Genomic DNA, 18808 nt, shown 5'->3' on the forward strand with positions numbered 1-18808 from the left:
GTGATTTTGTTTCAGATTTTTGCGTTGGTGTTCATAATTGCAAATAGTATATAAGTTGCCGTCTTCACACTGTTCTTATCTGGCTTTAGTGTCAGAGTAATATGAATCATGTAAAATGGGTTGTGGGAGATTTTTTCTTCTTTATGTTGTCTGAAACTTTCCATATGTCTAACTTGAACTCTTCCTTGAGTAGTAGAAATCACATTAAAAATCTGACTTTCGTGGATTTTTTTTCATGGGTGTGAATATATTTGTAATTAATTAACTCAATTTCTTTTGTTAACAGGGCTATTCAAAATTTCTATTTCTTTCTCAATCAGATTTGGTCAATTATATGTTTTTAGAAAATCATCCATTTCTTTAATTTTTCAAGTGTATTATAAAAATTTCCCCTTATTTTTGTAATGTTTTTTGGTCACTATATCTATAATTGTATTTACCTGTCATTCCTGAATATGCTCATTTATGGCCCTTTTTCTTGAATAATTTTGATGGAACTTGTCTATTAGGTTTTTCACAATTATAAACCAGCTTTTAGTTTTGTTGATTTTTGTCTATACACCTTCGTTTTCCTATTTTATTAGTCTTTGCTCTTTATTTTTTTCCTTTTGCCTTCTTTGAATTTATTCCACTGTTGCCTTTCCAATTGTTGAGCTGATCACTCATTAATTTTTACTCTTTCTTTTCTTCTAATATAAATACTTAAGACAATAAATTTCCTTCTAAATACTACTTTAGAGGTATTCTACAAAACTTCATATTCAGCTTTTTCATTATGGTACCCTTTAAATGTATTCTAATTGTCCATGTTTTTTTTTCTGACCTAAGTTATTAGACATGTTTTAGTTTTTCCAATTATATGGATTTTTTTCAAATTTATCTCCTTGTTATTGATTTTCAATGCAGTTGCATTATGATCAGTAAGGTAGCTCGTGTGAAACCAGTTTGTGGCATTCATTCTTGAGCTTTGTGACACAATTGATGGTCAATTTTTGAGTAGTCCTTATATATTTGAAAGAATATGTTTTCTCCCATTTGGGCACCAGGTTATATACATGTTAATCTATTAGATAAAACTTATTAATTGGGTTAAACAAATCTATTATATGCATAACAGTTTTATCAATTACTGTGCAAGAGGTATTACAAACCTCTTTACTCTGATTGTTGATTAGGTTTGGCTGGATACAGCAGGGAAGAATTCCCACAAAATAATAATAGCTTACAAAAGTTAGAAGTTTGTCTGAACTTATTTTATGAGGAAGATAAATAAACTCTATCTATGCCTTAGTGTCCAGAGCTGATGGAAATAGTTCCATAGTGAGCCTGGAATATTGAATTTGGTTACTCCCTCCCTGTAGCTGCCAGGGATGGTGGTTTCTTCCCTCCATTTTCCCTGCCACCTATGAGTGATAGCCATAGGTGACTCACCTTTTCTAGGGAGAACATCTGTGGGACTCATGGCAGTCTGTAATATGAAAGTCACATCTTTCTCCTGCACTGAGATCTGTGTTCCCCACCTTGCAGGTATATTTTTCACTGAATCCAGGTAGGATTTTACCCAAGCTATATCCTTGGATAAATAAATTGGCAAAATATATTTCATAAATATTTTTCTCTTTGTTTTGGAGATTTTTTTCCATAAGTGAAGGCCTCAATTGTCCATAACAGATTTTATTCTCCAGAGATCCATCAGACTCCTTTACATAGCTAACCCCTTTCCTTATATGTCATACGGTTACTTGATTTTCTCTTCTCCCACTCATTCTCTGATTTAACATCTCCTGTGATACTCACCCTGTGGTTTCTCTCCAAGGCTTTCACACACATTTTCAGTGAACAGTCCAGACTCTTGTGTGATGTTACTAATACCACTGCCTGTCCTTTGACCATGCTGAGTCCTTGGATGCTTCTTGACATAGAATGTCATAGAATGAAATTTCCTTAATTCTATTCACATTTCAGCCCATTGCAAGTTTTTTTGTCCTCATCTGTCATCTCATTGCCTTGTTCAATTATTCTAAAGAAGTGTATTGTGAGACTGATATATAGTAAAATATTTTTAGTGCATGTATAATAGAAAATAGTTTTATAAAATCACTTTTTTTAAAATTTTAGATTTGGTGGTACATGTGCTGGTTTGTTAATCGGTATCTTTCATGATGCTGAGGTTTAAGCTTCTAATGATCCTGTTACCCAAATAATGAATGTATTACCTGATAGATAGGTAGAAAATAGTTTTAGATTGAAAGCTGATTCTAGCTCATCTACGTCTTAACATAGACCAACTGTAAAATATATATAGAATGTATATACATTCCTGGAATACTTCTATAACTCCCATTCTTGAGGGCTGCTTACATGTCAAGCATGTTGCTTGCTATTTTCTGTCTGTTACCACCTTTTCTCCTGCGAGCACACTCACAGTATGATACTTTTCCCCAATTTACAGACAAAAATCTGAAACAAGAAGACCCGAGGCATTCAGTGATTTTCCCCAAGCATTGCCTAGGTACCGGCAGACCCTCAATTCTAACCAAGGTCTGACTGGTGCTTACTTCAGTACTTTTAATCACAGGCCAAGCAACTGAAACATTAACTCATTGTATCTCCAGGTCATCACCGAGTGGTCTTCTCACATCATCCTTCAGGCAGCACCAAGAGTCACTGGCAGCAGAGAGAGAGAGGCGGCGGCAGGAGAGAGAAGAAAGGTTGCAGAGAATAGAGCGGGAAGAAAGAAACAAATTCAGGTAAGAAGGATCTTAAGATTTTTTTTAAATAGTGAGTTAAAAATTAAAGGCATGTGACTTTACAACTGTATACATTTAATATTGGCATTAAAGGAAGTAATGAAAATTCTGTCTGTATTTTTAAGGAAGAGAAAGACATACCTGAAATAGGCTGGATCTGGTTTGTTATGGCTTTTGTTTCTCTAACCATATGGCAGGAAGCACAGTCAGCCAAATACAATTAGGGACTCATGTATTCTTGGGCCCTCCATTACCTACCTCGTCCTATCCAGGCCCTCCGGATGACAGAGAGTGTAATTATCTTAACTTAATTTGCCATCTCTTCCTAATGGTCCTCATGTTTTATTCATATTCTATCAGATGCCCAAAAAGAAATGCTTTTCCCACTTTCTGGTTTGCTTTTTGATCCCTGTAACAATCTTCAATATTTTTTGTAAACAATAATCTCTTGCTATGTGGGGGGAAAAGTCATTGTGTTGATTACTCTCAGCCCATTTCCCCCGATCTCCTGGTCTCTGTACAGCTTCAAGGATGTGTTCCTGGCTATAGCTCATTCCAGGTTCCATATCTTGGCCTGTCTGTCCCCACTGATCCCAGTGTGCCTCGGCTTCTCCTTCAGCCAGTCCACCTGTTCTCCACATTCTCCAGGTCATCCTCCTTCACACCCATCCCCTGGGCTTCATGCTGTGCTGTGCTTTATGGAATGAAAAACAGTTGCTGTATCTCTCCTTACACATTACTTCCTTCTCCTCTTCCTTATATCCTTTTTCCCTTTTCCCCCTTTCTTCCCCACCTCCTCCTATACTTTCTCTTCCTCCTTAATCCTTTGAAGTCATTTACCCTATAGCTTCTACATTCTTTCTTTTCATTTTTCTCCCCATCTCTACCTCCTGTTTCCTTAGTTCAGTTTCTTTGGCAAACAATATTCCCATCAATTATTCCCCATTATATCTACAAGGAATGTAAGGCATTGTTAATGAGGATTTACAGATTTAATAACGTGTTTTTGTTTTGTTTTGTTTTGTTTTTTGAGACAGAGTCTCACTTTGTTGCCCAGGCTGGAGTACAGTGGCGCAATCTTGGCTCCCAGCAACCTCTGCCTCCTGGGTTCAAGTGATTCTTCAGCTTCAGCCTCCCAAGTAGCTGGAATTACAGGCCACACCACCACGCCTGGCTAATTTTTGTAATTTTAGTAGACATGGGGTTTTACTGTGTTGGCCAGGCTGTTGAACTCCTGACCTCAAGTGATCCACCTGCCTCAGCCTCCCAAAGTGCTGGGATTACAGGCATAAGCCACCATGCCCAGCCAATAACTTGTGCTTTTCTGAAGCCAAGAAGTATATGTGTAATTGTAAAAATGATCAAAATATGAGCACAGTTGTGAAGTTGCTTAACTATAAGTCACTACTTCTTGAAAACAAATGCCAAGTCTTTGAAATGCTAATCCTCATTTTTCTAAGACTGGGTGAATGGGCTGCATGAAGTAAACCAACATCATTTCCCATCAAGATAGTGTAGCATACCCTCAGCTGTCACATTTCTACCAAACGATATTTGGAAATGCCAGCTCTGTATGCACCATTTTTCATGAGGGTAGTTCTGGAAGTTGTCACTTTTAGAAAGGCCAATTTTTTAAATCTCTGGAACAGGTTAAATGCTTCCTGATTTATGGTTTTCTGGGAGATTGGCATATTTTACCACCAAATAGCAGCAGAGAATCTGAGTGAAATACATGGAAAATTCAGAGATTAGCTTACATCCAAAGTGTTTTATTGAAAACCTCTTGAAACAGGGTGCTGGTTCTGGGGAAAATGGAATTCATTCACTCCATCCTGTCTCTCCTTCATTGCTGAATGCAACCATAAGTCATGGAGAGAATGTGTGAAACTCTGAAAACTCTGAAATATAAAAGAGAGCAGGTGAAATTAGGAAGGGAGACTAAAATTCAGTTTTACAAAACCAGTGAGAGTTTACCATTTTTTACCTTCACTATTACTTGGCATGTACTCAAAGGCACCCAAACCTAGAAGTGTATGTCAAATCTGGACCAAAAGAACCCCAGAAGAAGTCCTCTTTTTCCAGACCAAGGCACAGTAAAGGGAATTTCTAAAGATAAAAGTGTAGAGAATTCCTGTTATTTCTTTATCTCCTACCCTAGCCTCCCAAACAATATTGCTACAGAAGCACAGCAATGGCAGCAGTGTCCAGGCAGTTGCCTGAAATGGGAGAGAGGGGAACTCTTCCTCTGACCATAAGAGCTATGACCCCATGATCACTAGGCATATCACTTTGCTCTCCTCCTGCTATATTGTCCTAGATGCAGATGCAGTTACCAAAAGTATGCAGCAGGACAGGGAAAGTAAAGCCCAAGCCTTCTGGCTGGAGGACCATAAAAGGAAACCCAAGGAGCCAGAAAGTGTTAGGAAAGCCACAAAGAGCCAGGATATCAAGAGAGCACTCCTGAATGCATGTCTGATTTGTACACATGTGGCTTCAAACCTACATGGCATGCCATAGGCTTTGAGAACTAAGTACAGAGTGGGAGTGGATCACCACCCAGATCCCAGAAAACTGAATTAATATTGGAACCAATGTCTGAAGGCAGGTTACAACTTGCAGGTTGAACTTAACCCGGTTGATTACCTGCTAATACAAAATAAAACAAAAATCAAGATTCTTTGTAGAATTTAAATAAGACCTCAAATCTCATTACAAAATATGTAAAATGTACAGAATACAATCCAAAATAACTTATCATAAAAATAATTAGGAAAATTTTAACTCAAAGGGAAAAGAGAATTAAAAGATGGCTAACCACAAAGGACATAGATATTATACATTTAAAGACTTTAAAGTAGCTATTATAAACATGCTTTAGGAAGTAAGGGCAAATACTCTTGAAACAAATGAAAAGATGTCTCTGTAAAAAAAAAATAAAAGATATAAAGATCCAAATGGAAATATATATAGAACAGGAAAATTAAAATAGAAAATTTGTCAGATGGGCCAAATAGAATTGCTATGAGAGAAGAAAGTGAACTCATTGCTATGAGTGAACCTGAAGATAGAACAACAGAAATTTTCCTACCTGAAAACTAAACACAACAAACAAAAATTGAAAGAAAAATGAACAAAGCTGTAGGGACCTGCGTAATAACATCAAAATGTCTAGCATTCGTGTCATCGGAGTCCCAGAAGTATAGGAGAATAGGACAAGAGTGCATTGGTTTTTTTTGTTTGTTTGTTTCTTGAGACAGGGTGTCACTCTTTTGCCGAGGCTGGAGTGCAGTGTCACCATCTTGGCTCACTGCAGCCTCGACCTCCCAGGCTCAGGTGATCCTCCTACCTCAGCCTCCCAAATAGCTGGGACTACAGGCATGTACATGGGACTACTGGCTAATTTTTGTATTTTTTTGTAGAGATGAGGTTTCACTGTGTTGCCCAGGCTGGTTTTGAACTCCTGGGCTCAAGTGATCCTTCTGCCTCAACCTCTTAAAGTGCTAGACTTATAGGCATGAGCCATTGCACCTGCCCATGTGTTATAATATACAGGAATTATGTTATTCATATGTATATGTTGGCAGAGTAAGAATTAGGCCTGGAAAGGTTGTCATCAGAGGCCATGCTAATAACTGTTAACCATTTGCTCTTGATTTCAAGTGATTCTAACTTGTCATTTAAGAACACAGAGAGACCTTGGCAAAATGGCCCTCCTCCACTCATCCAAAATGAATGCTAATCAACCGTAGGCAACTACTAATTATGGTGACTGCAGTTCCATATTTCTGAGGATGTGAATGAAAAGAAATTCAAAAAATAAATAGGAAAAGCTTTCTAAAGTAGTTCCTGAGGTTACCCAAATGACTGACCTTTTATCAGCCATTTCATTGATTTAAATTGTTTATGCTCCTCGTGCTTTTTGCAAAGCATCTAAAAGTTGTTCTTTATCTATTGTCATTTTTGTTGAATATGGTCTTAAGCTTTCTGAGTTATAGGAAATTTAGTTCTAGTGTGGAAAGTGATGAGGTTGGATGTTTATAAACGATGACAAATCTGAGTCCTTGTTGCATTTTTCTCCCGGTCCTACACTGCTGTAGTCTAACTTACTGCCCCTTTATATCCAGTTATCAGTACACCAAGAAATAGAATATTTAAACTATATTATGAGGTCCAGTGTTGAAAACCATGATGTTAGGATTCTCCAAGAAAGTAAACAGTCCAGTGAGAGATGACTAACCACATAGTCTTAAACTTAGATTCAATTTGGAACCTAACCAGCAGGAACAGAAAAACAAAACATTAAAATTAAGAAAACAGCAGGAACAGAAAAACAAAACATAAAATTTGGGCATCTGTGGGTACAGACAAAAGAGAAGGAACAAAGCAGGAGCTTCAGTGATCCTAGAATAGAAACTGAGAATGTAATGGATGTGGAGAAGGAATCCTGGGTTGTCACTGTGGATGACAGTGTGGCGATTCCTCAGAGACCTAGAACCAGAAATGCCATTTGACCCAGCAATCCGATTACTGGGTATATACCCAAAGGAATATAAATCATTCTATCTTAAAGACATATGCATACGTATGTTCATTACAGCACTATTCACAATAGTAAAGACATGGAATCAACCCAAATGCCCATCAATTGATAGACTGGATAAAGAAAATATGGTACATATACACCATGGAATACTATGTAGCCATAAAAAGGAATGAGATCACATCCTTCGCAAGGACATGGATGGCACTGGAAGCCATCATTCTCAGCAAACTAATGCAGGAACAGAAAACCAAACACCACATGTTCTTACTCATAAGTGGGAGCTGAACAGTGAGAACACATGGACATAGGGAGGGGACCTGTGTCCATGTGTTCTCACTGTTCTGTGTGAGAACAACACACACTGGGGCCTGTCAGTGGGGGGATTGGGGAGGGAGAGCATCAGGATAAATAGCTAAGGCATGTTGGGCTTAATACTTAGGTGACGGGTTGATAGGTGCAGCAAACCACCCTGGCACACATTTACCTATGTAACAGACCTGCACACCCCTCATGTATCCTGGAAATAAAAAAAAAAAAAAAATCCTGGGTTGTGGAAGGAATATTCAGCTTGTGGAGTGCAACATAGAATGGCCAAGGAACTTAGATTTAATTCTTAAGATGGCTGTTATGAAGCTACCAGAGCTCAACTGGATGCTAATCACCTCCAAAAGCTATTGCTTGCTTGTTATTGCTGTATTTTATTTATGGATTTTTTAAAAACTTCTCTTTCCTCAGATACTTACATTCTTTCCAACAAGTAATTAGTAGTGTTTCTGGGTGAATCCAATAATCCTATGTTTTCTGCAATCCCTGTGATTGTATTGAAGATCGATTGTATTTAATAATTTTGAAGTACAGGCTTTAAACTTTTAAAAATTCAGCTACAACCATTTTACATTTCTGAGGCAGTGCCAGTCTTTCATGATATACTGTTTATAATTTATTGGTAATTTTCTGAGTATCTAATTCTGTTACTTTCTTTTCCTGTTTGTTTGTTCTACATATTTCCATTAGCCGAGATTATTTAGACAAAAGAGAGGAGCAAAGGCAAGCAAGAGAAGAAAGGTTTGTATATTTCTTCTTTCCCATTGTAACAAATGGCATGTGACTTTGCACTGTTAACCTAGCATGCAGAGAGACTGTCGATTAAAATATAACTGCTTCACCTAAAACCTTACATAGCTGGCATTTTGCAGAACAGAGTGTACTAGTTACCTAAATTTTCCAATAAAAGTATGGAGTTGTCATTTGGTGCCATCATGGTTAAGTGTGTCTATTCCTTCAAATGAGCACGTTTATGTTAGCATAATGACATAGGGCATATATTTGAAATACCCTGCACCACCACTGCTGAGCCTGGACTACATGTTCCTAATGCATGCTTTTATGTCACATGGTCAGCACTCCTTCAAGAAATATTTTAGTATCCACACTGTGCCAGGCAGCAGCTGGGGGCACTAGATATATCTGAGACTCTTTCTGGATGTGCCTGGTCACTTACCTGTCTCCCTACTGAACTGTACTCAGCTCCTCGATGGCAGGAACAATGCCTAGATTTCCTTTATTTCCCCAGTACCCACCACAGTGCTTGGCATGTAGTTGGGACTTAGGAATAATATATGGAATCAGTAAATGAGTAAATGAACCAACAGCTTTATTTAAAATATTCAAGCTGTAAACTACTTTATTTCTTTTTTTCATTTTAAAAACTACTTCATTTATGGTACGAATCTTTGTGGTTTGTGATGCTAACTAGAAAATGCATGAATACATTTTTAAATTTCTATCCACAGAATATTTGTATACAATTTTGTAAGAAAAACATATATGAGATACATTACTTTATAAGATTAAGAAGTATGTTATTAAAATGTTGCTGTAATATTCGAACCAGCCTAGGTCATATAACAGAGCAGCTCAAAACTCTGGTGTTGATCAGTAGTATATTTCAATGGCAACATGCTTTGAATCTCAATAAAAGATACAAAGATGTTCAGTGTCTAATAAATGCAGAGAAACAGTGGAAACTGGTTTTACAAGTAGACTGGCAAAAGACAAGTTTTCACCCCCAGCTCTTTATAGCCTGCAGTTGTCCCCTCTACCACCAGGTGGGGTGACTGCATGGAGAGATGGAAAGACTGCTTTTAACACCTTTTATGCTGGAGCCAGCTGGGAACCTAACAATTTCTGGACTGGGCCAATAAGAAGTAGAATTGTGCTAATTTTCTAAACACCAGCTAAATACATCAGGACAGTCTCTGAGGCAGGGAAGAGTGGAGACTGCCTGTCTTCAATTTAAGAATTAGATGCTTAGATCAACCTCTTAAATAAAATGATGGCATTACTTTGATTCCAACATTCTATTTGATTATTGTCATCCTAATAACCAGTTGTGGCTGGCAAATCTAGAGTGAAACATGCTGCTAAAGAAATAGGAAGCTTATATTTCTCACTAGTACCTGTTTTTTACATCAGAGGGCATCACATATACTTTCACTGAAAATGCGGTTGACTTCCTGCCCAGGCATAAGGAACTAAATTTTATTATTTTAGTTCTCCCCCCAGATTCTGTACTTATTTGAGCTTTCAACAACTTGACTGTTAGGTTAAGTCCACACAGACAAGGCTTGGCAGCTCCTGGGGAGGTGGTTTAAGTGCTGTGTCAAGATCTGAACTGGCTCAGCTGACTTCAAAATTTCCCCAAACCACGGAAGTCCAGCTCTTTCTGGATATTATTTACTGCTCTTTTTTGTCCAAACAAGACTTCACTTATGTCTGGCAAACTCGTAAGAGGAGGTTGCTGCTTCTCCTCTCTCCTCTGGTTCTGCCCATAGTCTTTGCTCCCAGGCTGCCCATCAGCCTGGACACAGGAGTGTGCTCCCCAGGCCCACTGTGGGATTCTTCCCTTGAAGCCACCTCTCTGTTTACACGGAGGTCTAGGGAAGCAGGCACGCATTTTCCTTTGGTTTGGCTCAGCCATTTTTCTTGTTAGTTTTCTTCTTGAATAACCTGGTGAAGATGGGAGTTAGGGGAAATATAGACTTTCATCCCTGTTTCAAAAGCTTTTAAGAGTTCCTACTAAGCCAGGAAAAAGTAAGATTTCCAAGTATAATGGAATTTGGAAATGGAAACTAGTAGAGATCAGAGGTGGGAAGTAGTACAGAAATAAGGAAAAGTAACTCTTCCAGATAGAGCAATGTGTGTTTGTCAAGTCCCACATCTCTTACCCTTAATGCAAGACTCAGAAAAAGACAGCCAGAGTCACAGCAGATGGTTTTTGAGGTTTGTATCATGTAACTGTAACAAGATGAATGTCATCTTATTTTGAGGTGTAGTGACCATCTGGATACATGTTATATTATTTCATATCATCTCACTCCATAATTTCAGACAAACTATGTTATTGGCAATGGTGCAGACCAGGAGTAAGTTTCTGTTGAGATGCTACTTCTCATCCTTTTAAGTATTAGAAGAAAGGCTTTATAGGATAATGATTGATTAAAATGACATTCACAAATAATTTAAAGGAGAAAAAAGAAGTGTGTGTAGTAAGGAATGAGCCAGGCTGGGGGTGTGTTGTGGGGTAGCACAGGAGGATACTTCTGTTTGGGTTTGTTAGTCTGAGGGAGACAGCAGGGCATGGAGAAGAAATGCTTTATAGCAAACAGGGGCTATGGGAACAAAGTGCAAAGAAAAGGTTGGAACTGGGCTAGGGTTTTGGAAATTGTGCATGAAAATGATCAATGAAGCAGTAAGAAAGGGTTCTGAGCCTTGCTTAGAAGGACTGAGAACAGGGCAGAAGTTAAAGGGAGCCAGAGTTTACTTTAATGTAAGTGAGAATTTCCAAATAGAAGTGTGGCAGGAAAAGTCATCAGTAAGTAGGTCTAGGTTAATCTAAAGTCAAGCAGAGTTTCTGTAGGGCCCTGTGAAAAGAGACTGAGCCGCAGTACCAGCCCTGCCACTGAGCTCTGGCGGATGTTGGAGTTCATCCCAGTGGTTTATTTGTCTCTCTCTCCCACTGAACTGTGAGCTCTGTGAGGGTGGGATTTTTCCTTGTTTATTATTAAATCGTGAGTGCCCACTACAGTTCTTGGCACATGACAGGCACTTGACAAACATTCAATAAATAAATGAAAAGATGAATGAACAAACAAATGATATAGGCAGAGGATAAACGGGAATGTTTGGATGAAGGCAGCAAAAGTAGGAAGTCTTTTCTTGGGGCTGTGGTTTGTGGATAGAAAGCCCGGTGCTTCCCACAGAGGAGGCTCTGTCGGTCTGTGGATTGAGTGTGGCTTCGCATGGCAGCAGGGATACGTGACAGTCATTGCATGGGCCGGTGGGTCCTCAGATCAAGTACTATTGGGCCCCATAGCACTTAAGTCATTGTCTAGGAAAAGGTCATGACATAGGTCCAGCTTCCTCCCCAAGAACTGCTGGAGGTTCTTCTGGGGCAGGAGGGGTCGCTAAGCTGTAACACCGTAAATGCCTGTGGCATGGCCGTCTCCGCGTACCAGCCCACCGCCTTCACCACTCTGGCCACTGCAGATGAACGCTGCTGCTGCTTTTTCAGAAAGGTTTAGTGCTCTTGACCTCCATGCCTCTCTGCCCCGCCATATAAAAAAAAAACTTTTAATTATGATCAAATGCACATCACATGAAATTGACCATCTTAACCATTTTAAATGTGTATTTCAGTAGCATTAAGTGCATTCACATTGTTGTGTAACCAGTCTCCAGACTCTTCTCATCTTATAAAACTGAACCTCTTTATCCATGAAGCAACAACTCACCATCCCTCTACCTCTGCTTCTACCATTTTTGTCTAACACATAAACATCATGTTTTGGGACAATTCAGATTAAACCTCTAACTCTTCCCATGTCTTACAGATCTTCAGTGATGGCATCTGTGAGGCCAAAGGGTACACAGGAATAGCATTTGAGTCAAATATATACAGGCTCTGGGATGAGTGGCCCCTGGAGTCTCCCAGAAAGTGGGTTAAACCCTTTGGCTCCCCACAAATTCCTGCCCACCTGGCTGCCCACAGAGAGGCATGCAGAAGGCCAGGACCAGGAATGAGCCAGCAAAAATGAATGCAGCAAGTGGGATGTCCTCCTGGCTGGAAGCCTTTCATTGAGGGCTTCATCACCACCACCCACTCCAGACTCATTTGATTTCTTGCAGTGGGATTCTGACCTCCTGAATTCCTGGACCTGTCCAGATTCTCTTATTTGCACTCATTTCTTGCCTGCCCCTTTATCCTGTGGCAGCAGTGTGGGAATGCCTGTGCTCACAACTCCTGGACTTAGGGCATTTCTGGCCTTGAACTTGCCACCATCCCATTTAACACATACCTGCTGGAGGCCCTGCCTCTTACCCTTAAAATTGTTTTCTTTCAAGGTTCTTGTTACTTCCACAGCCAAGTGGCTTTTTCTTGCTGGCCCGAATTAAGGCCACAAACACATTCCTTTTGTTGCCTCTCTTACCCCTCAAGAGGTGGTGCTCTTGGCCAAGCCTGAAGTGTTTGTGTCTACATATACATGCACTACACACCTTTTATCAGAGATTCACCATGAATGCAAGCTCATTCCCCACAAAAATGAAATGGGATGCATTTGCTCCCTCAGCATCCTGGGCTGCAGGTGGACCTCTGCAGGTGGGGTGCCACTCTGCAGGCTTCTCCCTGCATGCTCTGCCTGCTTCCCATCAGCCTGCAAATGCAAGGCACCGAGGGAAAGAACAGAGGATGGTAATCTTCCTGTTCATGAAAATCCTATTATTTGCTTTTTGAAAACAGACATACACATGTGAACAGATGACTAAATATGCCAGGCAGTAAATGTAAAATGCCATCTGAGTTGAAGGGACTACATATCCGACATGAGTTCAGAGGCAAGGCCAAGATCACTTCCAGCTGTGGTGGTCAAGGCAGCCTTCCTGGAGGGAGATGTGCATGCAAGTGTGGTCCGAAGGGTGGACTGCCTTTGGGCTGGCAGGGAAAAGGGGTGAGGATTACAGATCGAGAAACCACACCCACCTTGAGGATGGGATGCAAAAAATGCATGCTTTTTAAATGCATTGTTTTAAAATATTTTAATTATGTGCTCTGCCTTTCTTATCTGGGTAAATGAGGAACACCATGTCTAATGCCCATTGTGAGGAACTGAAGCAGTGAATTGGATAGATGCAAAGTGAGCGTCTTGAGTAAGCTGTTCCAAAGTTTAGTGGTAGGTAAGATAGTAAGAAACCTGTTACAGCTGAATGCATAAATTTATTTCTGAAAAAATAATGGTGAGTAAAATTAGCAGACATCTGGAAGAGGCACACATTTCAAAGTTATTTTGGTCTGATCTATAAAGCGCACTATGAGGAATATGATTGGTAGCTGGTCTTAATAAACAGTTAGTGGGTTCTGCCTGCCTGAAATGCAAAACAGATGTATCTTTGTTCTTTTAAACTGACTTTGATGAATAAACTCTATGTGACGTCAGGTTCAAGCTATTGGATGTCTGATTCCTACTCAGAAATATTTTAGAATATAAAAAAAGTTTCCATGGTCAGCACTGAGAGAACAAAGTGAATTCCAGTTACATTGCTGTTAGTATTGAAGCAGGTTCAGAAATTCAGAGAGGCAGGCCTTCATCCAAGCAACCCCCTTTGGTATATGGGGGGCATTTTTTTTCTCTCTGCCACACCAAGGCACCCACCCATTTCACAGCTGTGAGCTCCGAGGGGGTTTGGTTTTCAGCCATCACTCTTGAGGCTTTTTGGTGGTGGTTATTGCTGTTTTGCTTATTTACAAATGTTCCCTAAAAGAGCAAGATAGGATTCTGCAGCAGTGATCCAGTATCTAGGGACTGTGTGATGCTGCCATTTCCCCCAATTTGCTTGGTTATGAGTGACGTGGGATTTTTAATCATTAGCATCTTGGCTTTGCTGGGTGTTTTTGGCAGGCTGACTCTCCAGCCAGCCCTGCACTGTGCTGTGTGCATCAGGAAACCGGCTCATTCTGCAGGTGTTTCATCCATAAACAAGCATCAGCCACAGGCTCCTCTTTCGTTTGACGGAAACCCTTTGGAATTTAACTTTCAGATACAAATACTTGGAACAGTTGGCAGCTGAGGAGCACGAGAAGGAGCTGAGAAGCCGGAGTGTGAGCCGGGGCAGAGCCGACCTCTCCTTGGACCTGACCTCGCCAGCAGCCCCAGCCTGCCTGGCTCCTCTGAGCCATAGCCCCTCATCTTCAGACTCTCAAGAGGCTCTCACGGTGTCTGCCTCCTCCCCAGGAACCCCTCACCATCCCCAAGGTGAGTACAGGGAGAGTAGAGGGAAAATGAACAGGTTAACATCAGACAGGCTTCCTCAGGGCAGTAGTGATGATTTCAACCTGCAGGCTAATACTGAGACAGCAACTATGGGTACACTTTGTTGGGGGAGGGGGGTTGTGACTGCAACTGCCTGGTCACTAACAAACTAGACGTCTTCAGAGCCACTTATATTAAAGCAAAATGATTCATCAAAGTTGTCAATGTATGGCCATGGAAAAAGGAGAATATGGAAAATAAGCTTTACTTTAACATTTAATCCTAAATACTGGAATATTCATTTAATACTTTATCATTTTGAGATGTGGGTCTGCCCAATCAAGTGACCAACATTCGAATGTTCTTACCCGAGGAACTGTTAGTCTGGTTTAAATTAAACTGAAGGAGAATAAAATTAATTACAGCAAGCAAAGAAAAATGTGGACCTAGTGAAAATAGAAGGTAAATATGGAAGAAGGAAAATAATTCAAATTGTAAAAATTACTGGCACATGGTTGGATGTGGGTGTGTGTGTGTACGTCCTTATGTACAGACAGGCAAGCTCTCCTGGGAGATATTCTGTCTTCTTCACTTTATTTGGAGAGGCGCGATGATATTGTACACTGCAGCCTTGAGCATCAGCTGTTTTCCTGCCTGCTCTGCATACTGTGGGTCCGTTTTCTTTCACATTAACACAGGGATGGTTCTCAGCAGCGTTTACACAGTGTGTGTTGACTAACCCTCCTGCTAGCACTGTTTGCTTTAGTCAAGTGTTATGGCTTACAGCCTGATGTAGACTTAGCCAATTGAAGACAGCAGAGGCATTAAGCTTTTAATTCTAGGAGGGTTGACTAAATATGGCATAAAGTTTAATTTAAACAAGGCCGGACTCCATGACCTTAGCAGAACTGGATATAATGGAACGATATTGTCTGTCCAATTCTTTGCTGGCTCTCCAAACCTTGGCTCATTCTGCTGGAGCGGGCCGGCTCCTCCACAGCTTCCCGTGACATCCCGTTACTCCCGATCCCTGAGCCATGGAAGATTGTCCCAGGCAGATGGCTCAGTCATGGATGAGTAATGTCGGTCTTAAAATATTGAGACTCTGAAAGTCAAGAAAAGAGACTGTTCTATAACAGCCGTGTGCTTTCCAAACCCTGCCTTATATCATTGCTATTATCTACGTTGTGGTATTTCCAGAGGCAATATGAGAGATATCCTCCTGCAGAGTTGTGGTTCAGCACTTTATCCTGGGACGTTTAACTAAAAGTTGTATCTCCCGTCCTTTACAGAATGATTGTCTAAACTGTGAAGTACAGAACAGCTCCGAGCTGAGAGGGAATTGACAGTGTCTGTAAATGTCATTTGTCCTCAAATTTTTAATCTCCTTGATGTTTGTGGCAAAAGACAATTTCTCTCCTTGATGTTTGTGGCAAAAGATAATTTCTTACGTATTTGATTGAATTACAGTTTAACTCGAGACCATTCTAGCCACTGCAAAAGAATATTTCAGCTTCAGTAAGAATACAGAAAATAGTCATTTCATGTATACGTGGGTGTGTGTGTGTGTGTGTGTGCGTGTGTGTGTGTAGTATGCATTTGGGGAAGATATGTCAGTATGCTTTCAAAAGAATATTTGCAGCTGGGCACAGTGGCTCTTGCGTGTAATCCCAGCACTTTGGGAGGCCGAGGTGGGTGGATCACCTGAGGTCGGGAGTTCAAGACCGGCCTGACCAACGTGGAGAAAACCGGTCTCTGCTAAAAAAAAAAAATACAAAAAAATTAGCCGGGCGTGGTGGCGCATGCCTGTAATCTCAGCTACTTAGGAGGCTGAGGGAGGAGAATCGAACCCAGGAGGCGGAGGTTGCAGTGAGCCAAGATTGTGCCATTGCACTCCAGCCTGGGTGACAGAGTGAGACACCGTCTCAAAAATAAAAAAAAAAAAAAAGAATATTTGCAAGTGTTATTTTCTCTTCAGAGAAGGGATTAATAGAGACTGAGAGAATGTTTGACCAAAATTACACAATAAATGATACCTGCTTCTGAAAGAGGAATACTGGGCTTGAATCTGCATATAACCAAGAATTCTAGCATCATTTGATGTTGTTTGCTTTTTTCCTGGAAAAAAGTCAAAAGTACTGGCTCCTGTGAGATCTAGAAGAGCTGTCCATTGTATGTTAAGTAATCAGGATCCAAATCAGCAAGAGCAAACAGTCTTCCTTGTCCTGATATGTAATTGATTTATAAAATTGGACATCGCAAGTGTATGAAAAGATGGTGGTCTCAGAAAGAACCGCAGAGGTTTCCTTCTGCTTTGTAGACATTGGCCTTTATGACAGAAATGCAAAGTTGGTGTCACCAAGTTTTTCTCAGCCTACTTTATTCTTTGAAGCATTCTGTTAGCATCCAATTAATAGTATATTCTTTTTACCAAGTCCCATTTTCAAATGTTCAAAAGTAACCTTTTGCTTATCCCTAGCATTTCCAGTATCCTGACATCTGGAGGAAGAATTAAAAATATAATCACACATCCAGATGTTGGTCCTGCACCAAACACCTGGCATGTCCAAACGTGCCAGGGATTGCCTTGCTTTTTCACTCTTTATCCTTGTGGGAACATGCAATCATAATACGCTTCACATTTTTGTAGTGCTGTGCCCCTTTTTCCCAAACGTATCTGGGTAGGTAGGGGAGATGTTATTATCCATGTTTTACTGAGGCCCAGATAGATGGAAAGCTGTGCTTCAGACCATCTTGGCACAGTGCTGGGAGTGTAATTAGTGTTCTGATGCCCATCTCAGCCATTTGTCATGGAGTCATGGCTCTACCATGTTTGCATTGCTATTCATATTAATGCCACACCATCCCTTTGCTAACCCTCTCACCAACATCTGCAAAAATTGCAGCCTACATTTCAGAATTATATTTACAAGAAAAGGAAAAACTAATATTTGTTATTGAATTTTCTGTGCCTCAGGAGTACAGGTCCCTTTATGGGTTCTTTCTTTTATAACTCCTGTTTCAGATTCTGAAGAACTTTTGAAAGAAGAAGATAGGAAAACATTAAAAACTCCTTTTCCTTTTGTCTTACAAAACGTACTTTTTAAAAGGGAAAGGCTAATGATAAATACTGATAGCATGATATGCCATCTAGTGAGATCTCTCAGCCAAAAGCTTCCCCAGGTTAATCTGCTATAACTTTTGTATGAATGATGCCCCTAATCCCCACCACCAAGTCAATACATGCTTGAATTAATTTTCCATCTGACCCTCTTGTGGGCTTAGCAGATGTATGTCCCCATACTGCCTAGACTTGGTGATGATGGTCTAAGTACTTTCCTTCTTTCTAAAAGTACCAGCCCAAGGGAGGGAAAGAAAGACATACACACGCTCCTGTTTGCACTGTGTTGGAATTAATGGAGTCAGCCAGCCCAAAGTTTGGGCAAACATGGAAAGGCATCTCTTCATTCATTGCTTTGATATCTTTTCCTTATTTTCACTGATCCCTGGGGGTAGACATCAGAATATCTACTTAGTAAGTTTATTTCCTATTATTTTTAGAAACTCATAGATGATTCTGAAAGCACCTAAGTGATTCTCTTTGTCAGAAAAGGTACAGTGTTCTTATTAGGATAGAGTTCTTCAACATAATTCTTGAGAAAGTTTCTCTGAGGATGAAAACTAATAATAATAATCTGTGTACCCATAAGTAAAGTCAAGATAGCCAGATAACCTCTTATCACAATTTATGTCAGATCCAGGTAACCTATTTCATGGAAACAGAATAGAGAGAAACTACTCACCTGAAAACCATATGTTGATGGTGGTCCCTGGAGGGCATCCCGGGGTTAAGCTGCCTTCTCTAGAGAGCTAGAACTATGTTCCCTCCTTGCTCCCTCTTGTAAACGAGTCCCTCCTGAGGCCAGGTGGAGATAAATGGCATTTCCCAGTGGAAGGAAGCAGCTGTCAAGAATTTAGAAGTGGCTTTCACCCACTAACCTAGCCATGAAAGCAAAATTATGTCTACAGTATTTTATTATGAGCTTGATACTCTCCATATTGCACACAGAAATAATACATCACAGATACATTTGAAAATGATGCCACACTATATTATTTTTATTTATGTCAAGGAAAAATACGTTTGACAGTGATTTTTTTCTCTACCTGTAATTGGATTCCAGGGTATTTCCAAATGTCTGATTGTT

At 40.2% G+C, this 18808-nt stretch overlaps 1 protein-coding gene across 45 annotated transcripts in view; it reads left to right on the plus strand.

Moving 5' to 3' along the window:
- The window catches only part of FHOD3 (formin homology 2 domain containing 3), a 482508-nt gene that overhangs the window by 381108 nt on the left and 82592 nt on the right, over positions 1 to 18808 (plus strand). For 19 of the 45 annotated variants that reach the window (NM_001281740.3, XM_047437838.1, XM_047437840.1 and 16 more), the window contains 3 exons: positions 2616 to 2750; positions 8308 to 8358; positions 14389 to 14603. In NM_001281740.3, coding sequence (NP_001268669.1) covers positions 2616 to 2750; positions 8308 to 8358; positions 14389 to 14603 — 401 coding nt within the window. Of the gene's footprint in view, positions 1 to 2452; positions 2513 to 2615; positions 2751 to 8307; positions 8359 to 14388; positions 14604 to 18808 lie in introns of all 45 variants that reach the window. The other 26 variants (XM_011526189.2, XM_011526190.3, XM_017026008.2 and 23 more) reach the window with 2 other exon arrangements.

This window comes from Homo sapiens, chromosome 18 (genome assembly GCF_000001405.40).
Source record: "Homo sapiens chromosome 18, GRCh38.p14 Primary Assembly".
Classification (NCBI taxonomy): Eukaryota; Metazoa; Chordata; class Mammalia; order Primates; family Hominidae; genus Homo; species Homo sapiens.